The sequence below is a fragment of the Homo sapiens genome, chromosome 3 (genome assembly GCF_000001405.40).
Source record: "Homo sapiens chromosome 3, GRCh38.p14 Primary Assembly".
Taxonomy (NCBI): Eukaryota; Metazoa; Chordata; class Mammalia; order Primates; family Hominidae; genus Homo; species Homo sapiens.
In genome coordinates this window covers 74,521,029-74,546,003 of record NC_000003.12, presented here as the reverse complement: position 1 = coordinate 74,546,003, position 24,975 = coordinate 74,521,029, and the positions used below count along the sequence as shown (strand labels likewise).

The following is a 24,975-nucleotide window of genomic DNA, read 5'->3' as shown; positions in this document are numbered from 1 at the left end:
AAAAAAGAAAGGAAAAAGTTCAAGAAATGAAACCAAATTAAGAAGAAACTTTTAAAATTTAGTAAGAGATGGTGTGGTTGAATGTCAAGGAGCAGAGATTGGACCCTAGTCTCAAATTTCCCTTTGGGGACAATGCATAAAGTGTAGACTACTTAGGATCAAGACATCCATATTGACATTGTGATAGAAATCGTTCTTTAAAAATCTTATCAGTTTTGGGGGTGGGGGTTGGTAATAAATCAAACAACAAAAACATAATTTTAAAAATGGACATTATTTGCTTTGTATCACTGAATATCTGGGTACCCCTAAGAAAGTAAATTTCATATTTAAAGATTATCCTGTATCAGAAAAAAGCAAGATCAAGAACTTGTTCCTGAAGCACTATTTAAACGAATTACTTTTCCTTTTACCTTAGTGAACTTATAGCCTAAATTAGTACAGCTACTTGAACTGGGATTATATAAATAAAATAATTATAGTGATGTCTGTGAATAGACAGATGGGGTTTTACAACACTTCAGACATGGTGGTGGAATTTAAATCTCATAAAACTGACACCAAGTGGATTTAAAGTTATGGAAATATCAAGGAGTGTGAAGGGATTCCAAAAAGATAGTTTTCACAGAGTCTTAACGATTGAGGAGGATGTAGGTGGCCACACAGCATAAATATCTTCAGAAAATTATTTTGACAGTTTTGAAGAGCCTAAATTGGCATCCCACCAGAGATTGGAGACTTTTTAAGTAGCTTTCTATTTAGAAATTTTAAAAACAAATAATAGACATCCTAATTTTAGTTTGGAGTAATAGATACTTAATTGCAGTTTATTACTTTTTATTATTTTTGTTTTATTATTACAATTACTTTTACTAATACCAAAGGGTATTTGAAACATTAACCTGCCTAAACCCCAACCTAATACTAGAGAGTATTTGAAGCATTAACCCTGCATGAACTCCAACAACCATCCCTAGAACTTTTGTCATATTGCATATGGTATTTTGGAATGATGTAATGTTTTGGGGGATGGCTTATTCTTTGCCTGAAAATTGTTATCAAGATTTTTCCATTACTTCCCCATCTTATTGTGCAAGAGATTCATCGGCCGGGCATGGTGGCTCATGCCTGTAATCCCAGCACTTTGGGAGGCTGAGGTGGGAGGATCATGTGGTCAGGAGATCGTGACCATCCTGGCTAACATGGTGAAACCCTGTCTCTACTAAAAATACAAAAAAATTGCCAGATGTGGTGGCATGCACCTGTAGTCCCAGCTACTTGGGAGGCTGAGGCAGGAGAATCGCTTGAACCTGGGAGGTGGAGGTTGCCTTGAGCTGATATCGCGCCACTGCACTCCAGCCTGGGTGACAAAGCAAGACTCTGTCCCCCGCACTGCTTTCCCCCCACCAAAAAAAGAGTTTCATCTAGGATACGTGTATTAAATGAAGATTCCTTGATCTCACACTGATGTTTTCATTGAGTTAGTCCAAGTGGGGAGGAGGGTTCTGTCATTGAATTTTTAAATAAGTGCCCCAAGGGACTCTGGATAAGCTGAAGATATCTGTACATCATTAAATCTTCTTGTGTTCATAAAACTGTGCTATAAATACTACATTAAAAGCCAAACATTCTGACGTGTGTTCAGTGAAGAGTTCAACAATATGATCTGAAAACGCAGAAAGGCTCTTTTCAACTTCAAAGTTTCTCAGAGTCAGGCATGTTATATTCTTGAGCTATTCAGTTACATTGTTATATCATAAGGTTTTAAGTTCATAGCATAATATATTGAGAAGAAATTCTAATAATGCCTTTTCCCTTTCAGTGCCAACCTGACCTCCCTTGTCAGTTGCCTCAATGTATTTTCTGCCTCGTGGTCTGTGATCAATACAGAGAAATCAGTTTGTGTCCTTTCTGACTCTTGCATTCCTGGAGTTTCTGATTAATTTTGCCTCAATGACTCTACAAACTCCTCCATTGCAGATTGGAAGTTTAACTTGAACTTGTCATTCAAATATGATTAAAAACTATTTTTGAGAAGTGGGTTTTTAAAATACGTTCTTTTAGCAGTCTTTGAACTTGGCCTTCTTTTAAACTGGAAAAACTCTGAATATGAAGACTTGATTAGGTGGTCACAAAATCACTGCCCTCCCCAGTTTCTTTTTTTCGACTGTCTCAGTTTTTCTTCCTGGCTTGAGTGTTCCTGTGATTTTCTGAGAATGGGAAAATGGGGCTGTGAAGTCATTTATGGCCCACTTACTTGTTTGACTATATATTGCTCATATTTTTGTGGCTGCCTTGATGACTGTGACCCTTAGAGTATTTTTTTAGGAGGAGGGGTACAAATTAATATCTATACGTAAAATGTGAAATCTGCAAGTAAAATTGGAAAATAATACTGAAGATCTAATATGTAGTATTTTCAGTGATCTACTACTAAATTAGTTTATATCATTTTACCTGGAAAATACATTAGCTTATTTATATTCATTAATGTTTCCTATTAATCTGTATTTTCATCTTTCTCCATTTTGGATCTAAGAGTACATTCTCACACCATTCTAACACCTTCTTTTAGAAAACAGAGATAAGTATCCAAACTAGCACTTTGCCTGGAGCATTAAATACCAAAACCCTATCTTGACCAGGTCACTCCTGAGATGTTCTCAGAAGACCTGTTCCCATCAGAAATTAACATTCCCAAGCAATAAATGATACGCTAGTTTTAAATCTTATTTTTTGGTCGCATCATCTTCTTAAATACTCCTATATTCAATTTTATCTTGATTGTTTATATCCTACTTTTTCATGCATTTCATGTACTTTCTGCCTGTTGAATCCTTTGAAACTTAATACACAATTTTTTTTTTGTTATTTGAGACAAGGTCTTGCTCAGTTGCCCAGGGTGGAGTGCAGTGGTGTACACTCATAGCACACTGCAGCTTTGAACTCATGAGTTCAAGGGATTCTCCTACCTCAGCCTCCCAAGTAGCTGGGACTACACTACAGGCACATGCCACCATGCCTGGCTAATTTTTATTTTAATTTTTGTAGAGATGGGAATCTTGGTATGTTGACCGTGCTGGTCTGGAACTCCTGGCCTCAAGCAATCCTCCAGCCCCAGCCTCCCGAAATGCTGGGATAACAGGCCAAAAATTCATTCTTTCAATCAGTAATTTTTTTACATTATAAAGAAAATATAAAGCCATGAGAGAACTTTTTCAATTTTAAAAGTAGAAAGCCGTAAGCAGGAACAAAATTCTCAAATCTTTTGAACACTGTTTAAACAATATATATGATTGACAAATTTACACTGTTAGCTACAGTCAAGACTGTGATTATGGCCCAGTCATGTCAAACTGAAAAGTTAATTGTTTGTCATTCATCATATTATCTAGTACTACTTAATGCATCTTAGCTGAATAGTTAATGTTAGTGTACTTAATGTTTCTCACATCACTGTGTGGATCAGTATGCGTTAAGAACTTTTTCAAAAATGTGCTTTCTCAGGCTTCAGATTTTGCTTGGGTAGAGGAAATACACATGGATTTTGAAAAATCTCCCTAGTACTAAATCCACTATTTTAATAGTCTGATTTATCTTCTTATAATTATGCAGGTTGCTTCTAGGTTCATTTTCTTAAATCACTTCTTTAAATGAATCTTTGTTCCAAGCCTTGGTGGCTCTTCATCTCTATAGGATGAAATTTATAATTTTCAGTGTTTCATTAAGCCCCTTTTCACCTCTGAAGAGGCTAGAGTATGCTACATTTAAAAAATTATTTTATTTTTCATTACCCAGACTAGAGTGCAGTGGTGCAATGAGCTCACTGCAACCTTTTACTCCCTGGGCTCAAGTAATCCTCCTGCTTCAGCCTCCCAAATAGCTGGGACTGTAGGTGGGCACCACCATGCCTGGCTAATTTTTAATTTTTTTTTCAGAGACAGAGTCTTGCTATGTTGTCCAGGCTAGTCTCAAACTCCTGGCCACAAGCAATCCTCCTGCCTTGGCTTCCCAAGTGCTGGTGTTACAAGTATGAGCCACTGCACCCAGTCCATACTACATGTTTAAACACAGTTTTTCTGAAAGCTACAAACAAGCAGTGAGAGTTGAAAACCAATTTGTGAGATACAAACAATTTTCCATTGTATTCTACCTGAACTCTTTGTTCTAATCTACAGCTTTATAGAGTTCAGAAAAAAAATGCTATTTTCTTTTATAGTGAAACATTTTTTCATACAAAAGAATATATGATACATGTATGTAACTTATAATGAACAATAAAATAAACTCTCATGACCCCAGCACATAGCTTAATAGGACATTGTCTGTGACTTTGAACCCTAATTTATGTTCCTCCCTATTTGAGGCTCTTTCCTTGCCTTTAGGGTCACTACTGTTTGGATTTTACATTTATTATTTTCTTGCTTTTCCTTTAGTTTTACTATGTATTCATGTAACTCTACAATTGTTAAGTTTTATATTTTTGTATTTTATATAAATAATATACTCTATTCTTCTGCAGTGTACTTTTTCAATTTGATATGTTTTTGAGTTTTGAATAGGTAGATGTGTAAACCTGTACTTCATTGATTCTTTCTGCTATGTGGTAGTCCATTGACTGAATCTACCACAGTTCATTTATCTGCCCACTTATTGAAGGACATCGGTTTATGTTTTTGCTATTAGCTATGATGCTGCTATGATCATTTTTGTGCATGTTGAGTAGTGTAAAAGGGCAAGAGTTTCTCTCATATGGGTGTCAAGGAGAGTAACTGCTATGCCTTCAGCTTGAAATGGAATTGCTATGCCATTTCAGCATGAAAATGGCGATGGCACGATGTTTTCCAACATGGTTAGTATGGACTTACACTCCTACAGTCAGGATATGAGAGTTCCTTTTGTTTCACTGACTCATGAACACTTGATACCCTGTAACTTTTTACTTCCTGCTATTAGTTTTACCTAGAGTGTGAGATTTTCAGTAATATTTGATGTTACTCTTTTTGGTTTTCTATATTTTATGCAGTGGTTTTGTATTACTAAATTAAAGCAATAAATTTAAAGTATTTTGATAGAAGAAATAGGCTACATAGCACTCTTATGATTGCAAACATAGAAATTAAATATACTGCCTGTGTATATATGCACATATAAACTAGAATGAATGATTACTTATTAGTATTGATTAAATAGGAACACTTGGCTTTCTAATTTATTTTTTGCATACTTGTTGAATTAGGGATGAGGTATGTAGTTTGGAAAAAGAGAAGCAGAAGAAAGTTTTTGGCAGGTAGGAGGCAGTGTAGAGAAGTAGAGAGGTAGAGCTTTGGGGACCTTCTACCAATATGTCACTTAGCCGTGTGCAAATTGCTTGATTGCTCAAATTCAAATTCCTCATCTGACAATTGGTATACCAGTAGTACTTACCCTGTTAGTGTGAAGATTAATACATATAAAGCACTTTGTGTAGATGCTGACGTATAGTAAGTAAATATTCAACAAACTTCACTGACTGTTGTTAACTAAGGTGCTTACCATCTGCTTGGAGGAACAGGATATACATAAAGAAAAAACAAAGAAGACATATTCTAAGTGCCCAAATCAGACCAATTCATTGTTTATAACCAAATCAATGTTCATATCAACTTGTGGTGTGGAAAGAAATATTAACCGTTAAGCACTATGCAAAGGAAATCCCCTAAACTTTAGAATCTAAAACTGTTCCTTACACCTATTCACACTTCTCCACATGCCCCCACTACTTTTATTGAAGAGAAATGAGAGGGAATCCATGAAGAAAATCTTGGGTATATGTATACACACAAATAGAAATCAGAGAATTAGGAAGCTCACAGAGCAGCCAGCTTTCTATTTCAGCTATATACTTCTTCAAACATGGATGGCTGCCAGCCCTCAAGAAGGGACGTGTTTTGCTAACTGTGCACTTTCCCAGTTCTTAGAAACATTGTCCCCTGGAGTGGTAACCTTGTAGAAGGCAAGCTTCCATAATAGAATGTGCTTCATGGCGGGTCATACAGGTCTGGATTTTATGTGTGCAGTTCTGGAAGGCTCTCTGCTGGGTCCTTCTGTCACCTCTTCATAGCAAATGGAACCTCCTTTCCGAACAAATACAATGTGGAAATGGGAAATAAAGCCTGTACGTTTGGACTGTATTAAGGGTCTTTTCATTGTAACTGCACATTCTTTTTTCCTCCTCATTTCTAATCCTAGTTCTTTACCCACCCACTCTATCCACTTCTTAGAGCCTTAATGGAGCAAAGTATGTGTCAGTAAGCTCAAATGTGAAAATAGGAAAGAAGGATAACCAGCACTTAACAGAAAAGCAGCACCGGAATCCCATCTACAGATATCTATGTAGGGACTGCCTGGATGATGACGTATTAATTTTTTTTTTCATCCCAGAAGAAACTGGTGTTTTCAACTGGTGAAGGAGTCACGTGGCTATTTCAGGAGGTGGAAACATAGCAGCTCAAATTCTAAGATTCCACTGGAGTAGACTCTAGAAGCTTGGTGATGGTGGGCAAATCACTTTATTGCCCTAAGCCTTAGTTTCCTTCTTTGTAAATGGGAATAGTCATAGTACTTCCCTCATATGGCTGGTGGAAAGATTAAACACCCTCATCAATGGGCACAAGATAGTCAGTAAATGACATGAATTACCATCAGCATTTGACTTTTAATACTTAAAAAAGAAACATTTCTTAGCACCAATATTCAGTACTAAATACTTTTAATAAATTGAACCCTGATGTCCCTAAGTGACAGTCCTGCTTAAAATGGCACATTAAATTGTTGGATCTCAGTGTCTTCATCTATCCTGTGCTAGATATGTGTTTATTGATGATCAGATCCAGGTCTGTGGGAGACCATAGGGTGGAAAGAAAATATCTTAGCATATATCGAAATTAATGGGAGGCTTTCTTTTTAAAATATTAGAAAAAGACCATTTAGATGGTCCTTTTTAAGGTGAAAAATCAACTGAAGTATTTTTTTTTAATGTGAGAAGGGTGACATTTAATATGTTTTTGAAAGACCATGGTACTGCCCAGTTAAAATGGGCAACAGCTGTGCATAATTGGCACAGCTGAGCTGTGTACACCTGGGCTAAATATCAACCTGGAATCTAGTGAATGCAAGGGTTGGGTTGTGGCTACAGATCTTCAGCAATTTCTTGGCTTTCAGTTACGAGTCTCTATAAAAACAGCAGCTTTGTTTTTGATTTCTGTCCTCCACTACTGCCTTAGGGAAGCTTACTTCACAGAAAAGCACCACCTACCAAAGGTCTGGATGTCCATACATCCTTTATATCCTTGATAGCATAAAATATGTATGTTTTCAAAATGCTCAAATGATAACAACCTTTATTTATTCAAATACACATGCTCCAATAAAATAGAGCATCTCCAAAATGAACATTAAACAGAAAGACTTTTAGTAGGATACGTTGGAATCCATCCTTTTTGTTGTTCCTTGAAAATATGTCTCAAAGCACCCGTTTTGCTAAGTAAAATAATAGATCTCTGACCCTGCAAATAATTGGGCTCAGGAGGCATACACAGGGAGAGAATTTTAACTGAAGTTCAGTGTTCTCGGCTTTCTTAGCTTGTGATAAAACCTTGATCACTCTGCTTTAAAACTGTAAAATTAGTGGATTATGTAACCAAAATAAAGAACATTCTTATTGCACCCAACAAAGTGTTTCACAAACAGTTACTAATTAATCTGCACAAAATCCTTTCAACTAAGTATCAACACCCACCCCAAGTTTATATAAAAAGCCTCACTGTAGTTGGGTGTTAGGGATCTCAAATGCAACTCATCAGCTCAGATGACACAAGAAATTGTGCCTCCTGTATTTCTATAACTCAGCTTTTTTTTTGTTGGTGGGCAAACTCTCATCCTGCTTCCCCAGGTATCCTGTCACATTTCTGAGTCATTGCAGAGCTTATGAATTAAGAAATGTGTGATGAGCAAGACTTAGAAGGATGGGCCATGGGTCATTCATTCATCCATCTATCTAGGTTGTCTCTGTCCACCGTCCCTTCCCCTCGGGCTGCCCTTCTCTGTTTCTGGGTCTTGGAATCTCTTGTAGATCCATCTCCTTGCAAGCTCTGGGTTACCATTCTTCTCTTCAATTTTGCCATTCCCCTGTAGACCTCCATCCCTCCATCTCTGGGAAATATTGGTTTTGAAGGAAATCCTCCCTTCTCTGTTAATGTACTTCTTGCTGAGGCTTTTGTTGAATAGTCTCAGTGATTTTTTGGAAACTACTTGTGCTTTCGGAAAACAGCTCATTTGGGGAACAACATGAAGTTTTGTTCCATCCTTCCTCTGCCTTCCCTACTGCAAGGAGTCACAGAGGTGGCAAAAGGGGGAGATTTCAGGGAAAATAAAACCAAGTTAAAAATGGTTAAACAACAACCGAGGCAAAGATGCCATTGAGTCTTGTTATTGACAGTTAGGACTGGAATTTGGAAGCTCCTTGTGTCCTAGCTAGTGGTTCCCAAATGCATTGACAACCCTGCAGCAGAATTACTTTGGAAAGTTTTTTAAAAATACAAATTCTGGGCCTGGTGCCTGGAAATTATGATTCAGTGGACCAGGGGATCTCTGTTTTTACATAGTTCCCCCACATGGTCTGATATGGAGCCAAGCGTGGCGACTACTTCCCTAAATCTGATGTTCATTAATTCAACACATATTGTTTTGAGTGTCTGCTATGGCCTGGGCACCATGATAGGCTTTTGGCTTTTGGGTACTTGTGAGGATGCACGTGGAAATGGCTAGGTGGAAAGTGAGCACAGCAGAGCATATTTTTCTTTGAAGGGGAATCTCTTAATAGTTTCTTGTTGTTATTAATGTTATCTATTGTACTATTGTTCCTCCTCCATAAGAGTATGTATTCAGAGGCCTCAAACTCCTGGTCTCAGGACACATCTTGTCTACAGGCAAGTTTTGTTAGGCCAGCTGTGTGTGTGTGTGTGTTTTAAATGAAAGTATGACAGGTTTGCAATAATTGTCTAAAACGGAGAAGTAGCCGTCCCTCTTTAGTGAGTGGGTAGGCACCTGGCAGCTCAGTGCCACCACCCCTCTGGCACTCTGCTCTGATTTATAAGGCCTACCTGGTTCTTTAATATCCTCAGATTCTAAGTACCTTGAGAAAATTGGAATATGTGTTTGTGAAAACTTCCACTTGTTTTTGTTACTCTGAAATAATAGGCTTGGTGAAGGGAACTTGTTCTGCTCCTACAAAATAAAATGTCTCCAAATGTCCACATGGTAGTACCTTATCGGAGGGTCTAAGTAAGCAGGAAGTAAGTGGAGTCCATGCTCTGAACAAACCAGAAATTGCCAAGTTCATTCCAGGAGCATATTTATTACAAATGTATTCGTCCAGGCAGAGTTCTAGGTACCGAAGAAACAACACTGGTCTGGTATTCAGAGTTGGATCTCTACTGTTGCTTTTTAGTAAATTCAATTTTGTCTCCTAAATCTGTCTTGGGAAGTGGGGGAAATGAAACCACATTGATTACTATTGTGTGATCTGAAATGTGTCAACTCTCAGTTTCACTTTAGTGTTTTCATTAAGGTCCTCAAACTTTTCCTGCTAGTAGTTACAAATACCTTCCTAATATTTAGTATAGGGTACAATTAGAAAAGGTTAATATCTGTATGGTACTGAGGTACTGAGGGGAGGCTTCTGTGGCCTACGGCATCCTGTTGACACAGGGCTAAGGAGATCTCCAATCTGGCACCGTTTTTGGGACCCTCTGAACATTTGTTGCAAAGTTTTGGTTCTTACAGGGGAGCTCATTCAGGGATGAATGAGGACCATCTCCGTAAATAAAATGTAATACCTTCTTACATAACAGAGATGTCTTTTTCTGAAAAGTGAAAGAGATGCGTCCTGTCTCTCAGTGTCCCACTTCTTTCAGTAAAAAGAGTAAGAAATTTTTTTAAAAAATTTTATTCCTGAATAGAGGAAAATATTGAATTGTTTCTAATACGTAGTGTTGCATATTTCTTCTGGAGCAATGGAGTGACCAACCCTAGGTTTTAGAATTTTAGATGGGAAAATACATTTTGGTTAGAGGTTTCAAGACGGGCTGCAGCTGAGTTGCAGATATATTTGGTTTGGTCGTCACGAATGTCTTGAAGTTGTGATTTTCGACTTCAAAACGTGGCTTGCTAAGGTTAAAAATTGGGAGATCAAAAAATATATTACAAAAATAAAAACTGAAAGATCTCATTAGAAAACTCTGGAAGTCCAGGGTCTTCTGAAATAAAGAGTTCACAGTCAGTCTGGCAGTTCACAATCAGGCTGTCTGGCAGCCCCAGGCTCGCATTGTATCGCATTGACAGCCCTCAAGGCTGAGTTGGATGTGCTCACACACTCCTGTTCTCAGTCTCCACCCTCCATATGCTTTTGTATCTGGCCTATCAGACTCAGGGGTATCTGCAGATCATTACATACAGGCAGTCAGTTTGTGTCTTTCCCTCTCTCTCCCTCCCATTGTGTTTTATGCTATCATCGTGAATCATTGCTATTTGTATAAAAACAAATGGTGGCTTGTTGCTGCATGAGTTTGGGAGTACTTCTCCCATCTTTCCTCAGCTGAAGTTGATACTGTGGGTGTAAATTCAAGCTGCTATCACAGTTTGCCCCAATTTAGATTTACACTTCTGTGTTGATAGAGTGAATGTTTTATACACCTAGATACAGCCCCTAATAGGTGTGAATTCTAAGCAGATAACTATTCATAGCCATGATTAGCATTTCAAAAAGGTGTCAAAATCACTCAATTTGCTGTGATAAAGCAAATTTTAAAAACACAGGTAAGCTGAACAAGTGTTTAAACAAAAAGATGTAAGCAGCGTTTGTCTCTTCAAAATGAGTTAGAGACCTAGGTTTGAGTCCATGCTTTATTTAAGACTTTATCTCCAGACAAGGTGTCAATTATATTTAATTTTTTTGAAATCATAGCAGTAACCATCACAACTCAAATACCAGCTCAGCATGTAATCACAGTCTTAATTCTTATAACCAATTTATGTGCATACCATTCCCATTTTACTGTTGTAAAATTTAAAGTCTAAAGAGGTTTAAGTATTTAGGTTGGTGCAAAAGTAACTGTTGTTTTTGCCATTATGGTCAATGGCAAAAACCGCAATTACTTTTGCACCAATCTAATAACTCGCCCAAGACTACATATGTATATATCATACTTAACTGTAAGTCATTCTGCCTCTTATACATTTAAAAATGTTCTCTTAGTAAGAAACACAAGTTATTTTAGGGCTCAATACTTAACAGTACATTGCACTTCTATAGCATCATTTTACAAAGCAGTGCTAACTCATTAAATTCAGTATATCTGAATAGTTTCTGTTCTATTCTACTTCATTTGTTTAAGACAAACAAAAACTCTACATACAGCATCTTAAACACAACCTACAGTTTGAGAAACACTGACTTAGAAGCTTAACATAAAATGGAAAGATCTTTGCTGTATTTTACAATAAAAATAGTTCTTTAAGATTCCATGTTTAAAAAATGGTACAGATAAGATTTTTACATTTTGATGTAAGCAAATTACATAAAACCTGTGTGCAAATAATGAAAAAAAATAATAAAGTGGGGATATGAGAGGGTGAGTGGCGCTGTAGACAAAACAAGAATAGCAAAATATTAATATTGATTTTTTTAAGTTGGGTGATGGGCATAAGGGGCTCATGCTATTCTGTTTACTTTTAATTTGTTTGGAATTTCACATGGTAAAAAGGTCAGTTTTAAGAAGTGCACCAAGCTCTTAGATCCTGTTTTCCCAGAAGACTCCTGGTTGTATGAGAGCAGAACATGTGAAGGATGAAGTGTGTCCTTTCTTTGGTAAAGTTCCGAACAGAAAGTAGCCAGGCTGGATGGTAGCTGATTCTCCAGTCTTCTGATGATGCTAAGCTGCTCTGAAGTTGGGATTCTCACCTTGACATGATTGTCATTTGGGCTGGATAATTGTTTGCAGTGGGTGGCTGTCCTGTGGTATGGCAGAGTATTTAGTGGTATCACTAAACCCTAACCCCTAGGTGCCAGTAGCTCATCTGTATCCCTCCCCAGCAAGTGGCTACCCAAAACATCCTCAGATATTGTTGAGTGTCTGCTGGGAGCCCAGGTCACTCTCAATGGAGAATCTCTGCACTAGAGCTCAAAAATATTACCTCATTTTTGCATTTATGCCTCTCTAGGCTTTGAACAAAAATACAAAGCTTCAGAGGATCACTTTCTTCCCAAGCCTTAGGGTAAACCTGAAACAGATTAAGCCAAATAATAATACCCAGGGATTGACTAGGAAATACTAGATTCAGGCATCTGTATGAAATTGGGAATGTTGGTTAATGTTTTTCTACCTCAGTTATTTCATCTGTAACATGGGGGTGGTGGTAGTAAATGACATAACATGTGTGCATATTTATAAAAGCAGTTAGAGTATTGCCTGGCACATGTTCAATCTGAGTGTTTGCCATTATTATCTACCTACCACCCATAGTGCCAGAATTGTGGTTTGGATATCTTGGGGAGTGAAGTGATCCTCTGAAGTGCTGCATTAGTATTATGTTTAGTTATTAGTGCTCCTAAATGTGTCTGAGTGCTTTGAGCATGTTTGCTTGTATGTTTAGCCTAAGAGAGCTCCCTGAGTAGTTTCAGAGTTAAGAGAAGGAAGTGTGGTGGTAGTACGCAGTTGGTTTCCAGAGCTCCTCAAAATGGAGTGACTCTATAAAATCAAACTATGGTTTCTAAATTAATTTACCTATGAATATGAAAATACAACCACAGGCACATAGGACATGCTGAGCATCTGGCACTGGCCAGGCATCATCATTTCTGTGACCTCTTGGAGACACTGATAAGGAGCCTCCAAGACGAGCCTGATGGTTCTCCAGAAAATGCCTCCATCCCAGAGCCAGCTTTTCTGTTTTGGCCATGGGATAGGGTTCATCACTTCTATTCCCTTTTCAGCATACTTTTGACTTTGCTTATGTGATTTTGGCTAAGGTGGAATCATTATCATGCAAGTTAATCCTGAGAAGACTCTTCCCTCTAGAAAAATCAGACCTTTTTCTTCTTGCATTTTGAATTTTCCTTCTCACTTTATGAATACAGTAGTCCCCCCTTATCTAAGGTATCATTTTCTGTGGTTTCAGTTACCCAACGTCAGCTGTAGTCCAAAAATATTAAATGGAAAATTCCAGAAATGAACAATTCATAAGTTTTAGATTGCATTCCATTCCGAGCAGTGTGATGAAATCTCACACCATTCTGCTATTTCCTGGCTGAGGAATTGAATCCTTTCTTTATCCAGGGGACCCACGCTGTGGACGCTCCCCACCTGTGAGTCACTTAGGAGTCATCTCAATGATCAAGTCAACTGTTGCCATATTGCAGTGTTGTGTTCAAATCACCCTTGTTTTATTTTTATTACAGTGGATTTCTATAATTGTTCTATTTGATTATTGTTGTTCATCTCTGTCTTATTTCTAAATTAAACTTTATCATAGGTATGTATATATAGGAAAGAATAAAGTATACATAAGGTTTGGTACTATCTGCAGTTTCAAGCATCCACCAGGGGGTCTTGGAATGTATGCCCCACAGATAAGGGGGTCTACTGTATGCTCAGGAATTTTCCAACTGAAAACCATTAATCATGGCTGTCTCTTTACCCTCTACCCATTTCTAGCCATGATCCCATCTCTCTCATTCTCACTTATTGAAAGAATAGCTGATTCTTTCTGTTTCTCTGGTTCTTCACCCATTATTCACACATCTACCCACCACTATGTGGCTGATCCTTCCCAAAGACTCCACTGAATCTGGGCTTGATAACATCACGAAAAGCATTTATTTAGCAAATTAATTTTCTCTCCTTCCTTCCTCTTTCCTCTCTCCCTCTCTTTATCCCTCCTTCTCCTGTTTTTTCTGTTTCTTTATGACTTAAAACATTTATTGAGGTAAAGTTTACATGCCATTAAATTCACTCTTATTAGTGTACAATTCAGTGCCTTAGTAACTTTGATGGTCGACCATCACAACATCCTGTTTTGGAATGTTTCCATCATACTAGAAGGAACCTTCATGCCCATTTGCAGTTATGCCCCATCCCACTCCCAGCCCCAGGACATCTATCTGTTTGAATGTTGTCACTCTCTTGCAGAACTGAACACTCTGCACCCTTAGCTTTCCTAACACAGTCCACATGTGAGTCATACTGGGACTCTCAGAATGTTCCTTTTGTCTTCTTCAGAAGGGAGTTCATCTTCCTCTGCTCACACCCTTAACCGTTGGGTTTCTCTAACCTTCTCCCTCGGCCCAGTGCTTTGTGGGCTTTCCCCGAGTCATTTCTCTCACTCTCATGAATCACCTATCTGGTCTAGATTTTCCACTGTTCTGTGTCCCTGTGTTTATCTCTTTCCTTATCTCCTAGGTAAGCCGACCTTTTTCTCTAAGAATTACCTCAGATGCTACCTGTTCTAGGATGGTGCTGTGATATCCCCCGTTTTCTAATTGTTGGTTGTACTTCCTGTCTATAACTGTACATGGAAGAAGCACCACTCATGAGATGTAACCCTAAGTCAGCTTTCTAGTCTTTCCTGCCTGTTATGGGAGTTCTTCTCTTAGCTCCTTTCCTGCTGCAGATGAAAACTCAGGTAGCCCCACCCACTCCACTTCTGATAATGCTTAGGTAAGGGATACAATTTCAAGCAAAAAAATTAAAACGTCCTGTCTTATGTAATAGTTAAAAGGTAAAACTTGATTTAAAGGGAAAACTAATCTCCCTCCCTGGTGCTAATCTGGTGTGGAGCGAAGGTCTACAGTTAAAGAAATAATGTTTTGGCTTCTTTTCTCACCTAGCTCACCTACACTGCTTCCTCCTAACTCGGTAATTCCAATTCTGCTAAGTATTTTGCCCGGAAGAGAAGAAAGGAGACCAGCAAGTTCAACTTGATGGATCCTGTTGCAGTGGCTTAGCGTCATGTCACTTTGGACTTGCTAGAAGTGCAGAACTGGCGTTTTCTTCCAGTGGTTCTTCCATGGGTTCACTTGAGATTCCAAAACACTGGGGATATTTCCCCCTCAGTTCCCTGAATGTAGTGCTGCACTCTCCCTCTTCCCCACCCCAGCTAGCCACTTCCTTCTTTCTCAGCCCCCACAAGTCCAGAGATACCCTAGCTTTCCTCTGTGAGGTCTCTTTTCCCCAGAAGGGGGTTCTCCATCCCAGGATATATAATAACCACATTCCACAGGCACTCACCCCTGTGTGTCTGGCGCACAGGAAACGTCATGTATTCTGTGCCCCTAACATCTCTGAGAATCCCTTTCCTTCACCAGTTGCAACCCACTATTTGGCTCCAGCGTGCTCTCATTCTCATTTAGTGGTCTCATTTAGTATCATCCCAGACCACTGCATCCCTCCAAAGGCAGCTCTCTGTGGTCTCCTTGATGTGTAACCTTAAAGTGCAACTTAAAAAGGAGTACCTGCCTTCCTCTCTGTGAGGAAGAGTTCTTTCCAAAGTCACCCCTTTCTCAAATCCTCTACTCAGTCTCTGGACAACTCTGATGTGAGTGAGCTGTGAGAACCAGGCAAATGGTTTTGCAGGATCTCCTTTAAATGTTTGCACTTCTTTCTGGCACCTCCCTTTGGGATGTAATACCTGCTGAGTATTGGTGGTCCAGGAAACTTCGCATGAGCATCCTGTTACAGACCTCTGTCTTCCAGTCTAGAATCTCTTATTAAAATGTAGTATAATTATATTTATGGTCAGTGTGCTACTTGAGAGTGTCAGTGCCTTGAAGACATGAATTTATTTTAAAATATTCTTTCTCTGTGCTTATACCTGACATGCTGCAGGCATGCAGTGAATTTGAGTTTTTCCCCAAGATCACTCTCCTTCCATGATTATGAGGTGAGGAACAGAATGGTCTGGGCTAGTGTGCACAGTTAGAACTCAGTGTTGAAACTCTATTTCAGCCAAAAAGTTCTCGTTAGCACTTTTGATTTCATTTACCTTTTTCTACTCAGTGAATTTGAGTTTTTCCCCAAGATCACTCTCCTTCCATGATTATGAGGTGAGGAACAGAATGGTCTGGGCTAGTGTGCACAGTTAGAACTCAATGTTGAAACTCTTTCTATTTAAGCCAAAAAGTTCTCTTTAGGACTTTTCATTTCATTTACCTTTTTCTATTCAACTCCCAAAAAAATATTGTTTACAGATTTTTCACATTTTATCATTTTAGGAATAAATTGTTTTTTTTTCTTTTAAAAATGTTTCATTTCATAATTTATACCACTGTGAACACTAGTGTAATAAATGATTTTACAAATTTTTGTGGCAGATTACTGGGACATTGTCCTTAGTGGTAACCTCTCAGTAGTTTCAGAAAACCTTCAGAATGAGACTGAGGAACCACTCAAATAATAAGTAAATTATTTTGATAACTATATAAAAACATTTTAATTCTAAAAGTGAATTTATGGCACCTACATACATGTCAAGCTAAAACAAAATTGATTCTTAGAGTTGCCACTACATTTTCCAGTTGGTAAAGTTTCTAAACACGTGACCCAGGCAGCTGAGGTAGTGACTATGCAAACAAAATTTCAGTGCCACGTGTTGAGCTCTGTACTGTTTGAAATATTTTAACGTGGAAGATACATTACTTTTCTATTGTTAATCCATTGGAAAAGTTTATTAATGCTTTGGATAATAGATATATGTACACTGAAGAATATTTAAAATTTTTGAGAGACTGTATATTGAAAATTTTTATCTTTCTATTCTCTTCCTGACCCCACAGTTTTCCTCCCCAGAGTTAGCTGCTTTTAACAGGTCTCATATATCATTCAAGAACTATTTTGTATAGTTATAAATATATGTGCTGTATATATATATACTATAAACAGCAAATATGGAGACAAAAATACCCATATTTCTTTTTCACACAGTGTTTTGCACCTTATGTTTGTGGTTTACTGTGTCTTTGAAGTATTTTCATTTCATCCCAAAGAGAGTTGCTGCATTCTTCTACATTCGTGCCTATTATAGGGATGGTGCATTACTGCAGTGCATGTGCTTGAAATCAAGCAGTGGAATTTTTATGTTAATAGTCAAGTCCTTTCCCTTTACGGAGGAAGTAACTGAAATTAAACTTTCAATTGCCGGTTATATTAATACAGACCTTTGAAAATACATAAAATATCAGGTTATACTTCATGGCTCTCTAATGATCTGATTACTTAAGCATTCCATTGGTATCTATTGTGTGGGGAAAATAGGTTGTAAGTACACAGTTTCTATCTTTATTTCTCTTTGACAGATTTGTTCACCCACCTGTGTCTCTATTTCTTTATCTGAAAAATGGGGGGTGATAACAGAAAGATCCCCATGAGTGGTTGTGAGGATTATAGTGGGTTAATTCTAAAAGTGAATTTATGGCACCTACATACATGTCAAGCTAAAACAAAATTGATTCTTAGAGTTGCCACTACATTTTCCAGTTGGTAAATGTGCCTGGCACATAATGGGCACTCCATAAAAGTTAGTATTATTACATTACTATTTAGTTTCCTTCCTGGTATTGCAAAATTGTCTTTGCAGAAAAACATTCATATTATATTATATTATAAAGCTATTTTTAAATCCTAAGTAAATATATGGTGGCAAGGAATGTTATGTAGACTTAGGAAAGGTACATTCTTCATTATCGTACAAGGAGGTCTGGAATAATTTTCCATTGAATCAAAGGGAAGGAAAATCTACATACCCTTTATAATTATTTAAATTTGTCTTTGTTCATTTTGTTTCATGTTTAACTTGGAAGATGTCTTGGAAAAGAAGAGATCATGGAATTTGCTTATCATTTAGTTTTCCTTTCATTATTATATGTAGTAAGACCCTAAAGTCTAAGTTCCTTTTATGTGTAAAGGTTATTTTTAGGAAAATAATGACACTTAAAAAATGTTCCAAAAAAGCACCTTAGATTTGGCTACCTTGGAAAAGCATTAGACAGTGCTGTTCTCCTTCAGGGATGAAGACTTGCTTTCAAAATCCTGCAACACTGTTGAAACTCAGACTTGCTCTTAAACAAAAAGCTTGTCTTGAAACATGCTACAAGCGACATTATTGCATGTCAAGTACAAATAGTCATCCATAATTGCGGAGAGGCTTGTAAAGCAGTGTGACGTGGAATTGGCCAAGTTAATTTGAGGTTTAAAGCAAAGCAAGAGCATTGAAGCAAACCCTTTGTAAAGTATACTTAAAAAGTGTTGACATGTTATCTAACATTTTGAAGCATGTCGGTTGGCATGATTAGGTAACTGTGTCTTGTCCCTTTAGCTTGCACTTAGTTGAAACTAGTGGAATCAATTGAAAAACAGCTTTGTAATTTTTTTCTGGCATAGCATCAGTGATGTTGGTCTTGCCAGAGAAGATCTCTTTGAGTTGAGGACAAATTGAAAGAAGCTCTGAAACCAACACATAGCATCTCAGAATGTTCTGGCAATATTTTTGTATTGCCGCCCCATCTACTGCAATATACATACAACAAGAACTCTGATTCTGTTTGCTACTACTTTTGTCCAGTGATTGCTAGAAGACCAGAAGCAAAAATTAACAGAATGTCAGAGATGACATACCTCACCATATAAAAAACAATCTCATTATTTAAACTTATTTGTCAAATTTTTCAACAGTAACCTCAGGAATATTTGTTTCTTTGAACAGGATTTTCCTTTTCTTCAATTTGTATAGTTTAGATTTATTTCCATTTTCATAAAATTTTCATTAATTTATGCATGAAAAATAAGCAAGAAATATTTGAATATACATACATGAACACACATATCTATATAGGTATACACATATATACATATGATTCCTATGTAAAAGAAATTATTTTTCAGTGTAATAAAGCATAGAGTACACACAAGTTAGCTTATGTCTGTCTATGTGCATTTGGACTGCAGAGATAGATGCATTCATAGTTTTGGCTGATTCTAAAAAGGGACCTTAACCTATGAAAGGTTACAAATCACTATTTTTTGAAGATTATTATCTAGTAGGAGAGAGAAGCCATAATCTAAATAATACAATAGAAGGTGTTAGAAGTGTTGAGGGTCAAGGGAGAGAATATAAAGTGCTGTAGGTGTTCATGGGAGCATGGGATGACTTCCAGCCGGCATTCACCCTGTTTGTCCATTGTTCTGTGGTCAACACAGAACTGTGGGTATGGAAGGTAACATCAAACTGGGCACATGATATCCTTCCTTCTTTGCTGCTGAACACTTGTGAAGTGCAGGAAAGATGGGTGAGCTGTTTAAGAATTTTGGATTTGGAGCCCAGAGTTCATGTAACTTTGATTACCTATCTGGCCAGTTTTCGGCAGGAGGGAGGCAGGGTCAGCATGCAGAATGGATGAACTACATCTCTGGAAGATGTGAAGATTATGGATGAGTGAATGAGTGAGTGACTATGAATGAACAAATCAGTTATGTGATGCATGATTTCTGATCTGACAGGATACACAGTCTCAACAAGCCAGTATACTCATTAACTAGTTGACTACCATGCTAGTGTGGTTGCATACCATGAGAGTGAGTTAATGTAAGTTCTAGAAGATTCACAGTACAACACCCAAAGGTATCAAACTTTTATCCACTAATAATTGAATATTTTACTATAATAAATGTCGGTAAGCTGCTCAAGTTTTTTTTTGGTGAAGATTAGGAATAATATATATTCATAAATATAATTCATTTCTGAAGTATCGAAATTGGAGATGACTTTTTGTAGATGCAAGAGAGGGTGGTGTATTAAGCAATCCTTACAGTTAAAATTGCTGTAGGGTTTTTCTCTTTGAGAAAGAAAATGTTTGTTAGGTACATGTTATCTGAAAGAAATGTTGCCAAATCATTCTCACACCTAAACTTTCTCCACATAAAGAAATGTAACTCTCAGCATTTGCCAAGATGATATTCAAGGTTGTCTGTATACATTAAAAATAATAAATACATATCAATATTTCATGATATCTGCAGTCTTAGTAGCAGTTTTGTAAAGTATATGACTAGCCACAAATGGTTTCTTCCTTCTTTTAGAGCAACCAGGCACAACTATTTAGAGCATTTTTGGTTTTGAGTCCAAGGTCTAGCATTTTTTAGCTCAGCTGACATTAAGAATAGATAGTACAGTTGTCAATATGCATTAAATTTGGGGGCTATTTAAAGATTGCCATGAGAACGTGTTGTGAATATATTAAGCTTTAGCCCTTAAATGCAAATGTCTATTAGCACGGAAAATTCTAAAGGTTATCTATTTTTTCTTTGGCTTAAAACATTCCTGTGAATAGTAGAATATTCTTATTGTAGCAGATGATATTTTGATTTGTATTTGTCTTGCTTCAGTAGCTTCCTTTGTATTTATTTTAGCTTTGTGATTTCAGAAGTGGGGAGAGCTTTAATATGTCACCTCTCTCCGTGATGATACATGGCAATGCTGAGAAGTCAGATTGTGATAGTATTAATTACCTTCATTATTTATAAAGCCAATGTCCTACTTTAACATTGATTAAAAATAAGCAACATAATTTAAAAAAAACTTCCTGAATGACATCTCTTTTTATCTTCAAACCTTTTACAGTGTATGCATGTGTGTACGTATAAATGAATATTATATGATATTAACATATCTTTTCTTTTAAATCAAATTCTTTGTCTATTGTTTTCTAGTTTCTAATTTCTACGAATTTGTGGGTGAGAGTAACATTGGTATGTTGCAAAATGTGTTCTCTTTTCATCTTGTTAAGCCAGACACAGATTATAATATTTCTAATTTGAATGTTTATTTCAAATATGATTATTTCACCTCCCTGATTAAACTTGCAGTTAACCTTTCAAGGGTATTATTCTGCGACTAATACCCTTAGCCAGACATACAAGATTGACCCCCATACATCTGCAGTCTCATTTCATACCACGCTGAGCTTTGCCACGTGTATTTCATCTCTTTAGTCTTCTTTCTGTTTGTGCAACCCGAGAGCAAAAACATACCATGAGCACCTAAGCCACAGGGCCTTTGCATATTCTATTTCCTATGCCCAGAGGTGATTGTTAAAATATTTAACCAGCAGTAGGGCATGCATACTGATCAATCCAAAGTGACATGGGCTAGAGCAGAATTCTGGAGGCCCTCTGCTGAGCCTTTTGGTTGGCTCCAGAGAGGTGTGGTGGGGTCCTGGGACAGCATGGAGATAAGTAGTAGTTGATGGGGGAGTGGTGTCCAGACATTAGCTACTCACAAGCCTATCTGCCACCTAATAAATCCATACCAAGTACTTGTCTACACTAGGAAAATTTCCTTCCCTCACTCTGCAGCACATACACACACCTCATTATTTCATCTCTTCTTTTCTTCCTCTGTACCCCAATTCCTCAGAGAAGTTTTCCCTAACCTTCCTGATGAGGACTGTTCTCATTTAGGCTTTCATAGAAACGTCTACCCTCTACTGTACCTTTCATGTGGGCAATTTATAAATACCCCATACTCATTTAAACAAGGTGTCACTCGCAATAGTTGATAAACTCTATGAGTACGGGGATTATCAGTCTCCTGACAATCTCATCACCACCTCCACCTCCCTCTAGAATTGTAATCCCAGCACCGAAGAGGTACTCAGTAAATTTTTACTGAATGAGTGAGTTTTCAAAAATAATTTAGAGCTTCTTGGAACACATTTATATGTTTTAAATGTAACCAATGTACATGTTATCTTGGGGATGGATTGTTGGGAAGATAACGTTTTTTGAAAACAATCACCTTCTTTATGCCTTCTCATACACTTTCCTGAAACAATTTTCACATGGTGGCCAGTTCCCATGCTGTGACTTATCCTTTGGTTCCAGTAGAAATGCTTTTCACTCACTTGATGTCCGGTGCAAAGATTTAATCTCCTGAGTGACTCATTCATTGTTCTTAAAGCTCAGCAAGAAACATTGCTTGAAAGCCTCCTGTGAAAGGGTATTTGGAACATTGGAGCAACCAGTGATGGGTTAACTGTGGTTCTACCTTCAGAGATTTATCAATCAATCTAGTAATTTACTCCTTATTTATAAGAGTTTATAATATTCTCTTTTCCCATTACAATATTAGGATGCAGACCATGTATTTTTTTCCAAATGACATAGGGCAGAGCTTCATATATTTATTTGAATAGTTTTTGATATTAAAGATGAGGATGATAATGGCAAGGTTACTGCACAATTGTTTGCTAGAGTTTCCCCTTCCTTTCCTGAAATTCCCAACTACCTATTCTTTTTAAGTCTGTTATTCTGTTATTGCCGAATTCCTTCTAAGTTAGATTTCGTGTATATACTGGATAGCTATAACTTCTGTGAAGAAGGAAGTACCAGTTCAATCAATGTACTCCTCAAGCCTTTGCAGTGTTCTAGTCTTACCCATTGTCCCTAGACTTTAGTGCATGTTACTATCATTTCCTAGCTTCTCATGAGTCTTAGACATATATATGTATCAGATTAATGTATCTCATGTTTCACATGCCTTTTATGACTAGTTAGCATTGTATTTTATTAGATAATTTAAAAAACATTATTGGTTTTCCACTCTTATCTATCTATCTATATGTGTATGCATGTTTGTGTGTGTTTCATCTTTCTCCTGATTTTTGGACCACGGTTTCCTCAAATGCATGATTAGAAGAAAAACTATGGCTGCCAGTTATAAATTAAATCTAATCTAGAATGATTTCAGTTATCATTTAAATTAGTAATTGAAAATAATTGTGGACATAGGATATGTCATTGATTGAGCAGAAGGAAGGAAGGAAGAAAGGAAGGCAAGATACCTGAGACCCTTTGGTCCAAGCAGGGAAAATCAGCCACTGGAAAGGCTTGAGCAGTATAATGATTGATTGAGGTGGAATGTGTGTCTCTCCCTCGTATATTTAAATTATTCAGTAATTTTGGCCATCAATCACGTGGGACCTGGTGCTGTTAAAAATAACTTCAAAAAGCCTGTTTTCTATGCACAGTGTAGCAGACACTGCGTGTGCCCTACTCATCCTCTTGCCTTCATCACTCCAGTGCACACACCACTTTTAATAGCTAGCATATATGTTTCTTTCCTTTTTTTTTTCCTTTTTCCACCTCTGGAGTTATTTACTGCCCTAGTAGGAGGTTACAAGTACTGGGCAATTACTACTATTATGGGAACTGGTGCTGCCTTGCCCCTTTGCAAGAATAACTCAGGGATGACTCTTGGATGACTCTTAGGCATTGGTTCTATAGGAACTGGACTTCCAGTCACCCATGGTGTTAGAAGGCTTTATATTTCACCCTTTCTAGGCTGCCTTCCTTTTCCTATCTTACTTCTCCATCCTGTCTGTTTTTGTCCTTCACTTCCCAAGTAAATTACTTGCACTTGAATTCATTTTGTCTTATTTGTGTTGTGGAACCCAAACTGAGACATGCAGTTTGCAGCAGTGGGGATATTGAGTGAAGGTTAAAGGTCAATGTTACTACTGTAAGTTGTTAACCTGCAATTCTTAGAACAGCAGTTCTCAATTGTATTTTCATTTGTTTCAGATTCCAGTGGACCTAGAGGGAGTGATGCCTAGGCATTCTAGCCGCAATTCCATCTCTTACAACCTACCCAAGAATATATATTAGATTGCAGGCACCTAAGAATATTATTATAGGAATGATGACTTAACATATTATTTTAAGTACATATTTTTCAAGTTGTCATATTTTTATTATTTGAGTTCTTATTATTTGGGACGTACATAATATCTGATTGCATACGCCACATGTCAGGAACCCATTGTTGGGAACCACTGTCTACAGGAGGCCAAGTTCTCTCTTTGGGTCAGTGACAACTAAAACAGCTCAATCAGTAGCAGCTGCTGAATCAGAGAGTTGTACCCGTTCCTTACTAAAGTAGCAAACTTTAAAATCATTAATTCCCCGTGTGGTACCAACTGAATTGTAGGAGTCCAGAGATTTAGGTCTGTGTATCGCGCATACTTGATCATTAACCATGAAGCTTAACTAGTTTTAAGTGGCCACTCAAAATGACACAAGACTTTCACATACTTATTTCCTCTCAACCAACATATTCAAGTTTATGAAAATTAAAGCAAAAAAGAAAATGGTTTCATTTGCAAGGTTCTCAGACTGAACATTTCTACCATTAGCATTTTAAAATCTGTTTTACACAGCATACATAATTGGGAGCTTTCTGCAGTTTTCTAAAAAAATAGGTCTAAGATGGACATTGATAATGCTATCTATAATTTGCATGCTTTATTAGGAATTCAGAAACTGCAAAAATTAGTGCTTCAAGATATCTGCTTATTTGACTCTGTTAGTTTTGCCAGAATGCTATCGTTAGAGAAAATGGAAAAAGTTAGAATTTTAGGTTAATGTTTTCTTTCTTGAAATTATCTAGCAAAATTTTTAATAATTAATATATTAAAATTTAATATTTTAATATTGGTAAACATTTCAAATTCTATAAGATCGTTTCCATCTACCTATGAGTTACATGTTTTTTAAGTATCTACATTTCAAGCGTCCTCTATTTTGTATCAAAACAGATTTGTTTTATCTGAGGGTTTTCAGTGTCTCCAAATGATAAACAGTTTTTACGAAAAGAAGAAAATCTCTTTTTTAAAGCAGCTTTTTTTTTTTTTTTTAACGAACTTCTTTGTACATATATTTTACAGATTAAAGGATTTACCTGAAGAGAAAGCATTCTATTCATCAGAGACTGGACAAGAGTTACTCTTGCATTTGGCAATTAAAGATGATGTTTCCATGGAAACAGTTGATCCTGCTTTCATTCATTGGCTGCTTAGGAGGTAAAAAAAAATCCTATATTTTCTAAGTT

At 37.1% G+C, this 24,975-nt stretch overlaps 1 protein-coding gene across 2 annotated transcripts in view; it reads left to right on the top strand.

The window, feature by feature from the left end:
• CNTN3 (contactin 3) overlaps positions 1-24,975 on the top strand; it is a 352,092-nt gene that overhangs the window by 68,656 nt on the left and 258,461 nt on the right. For both annotated transcript variants that reach the window (NM_020872.3, NM_001393376.1), the window contains exon 2: positions 24,812-24,946. In NM_020872.3, coding sequence (NP_065923.1) covers positions 24,892-24,946 — 55 coding nt within the window. In that variant the 5' untranslated portion in view covers positions 24,812-24,891. The remainder of the gene's footprint in view (positions 1-24,811; positions 24,947-24,975) is intronic.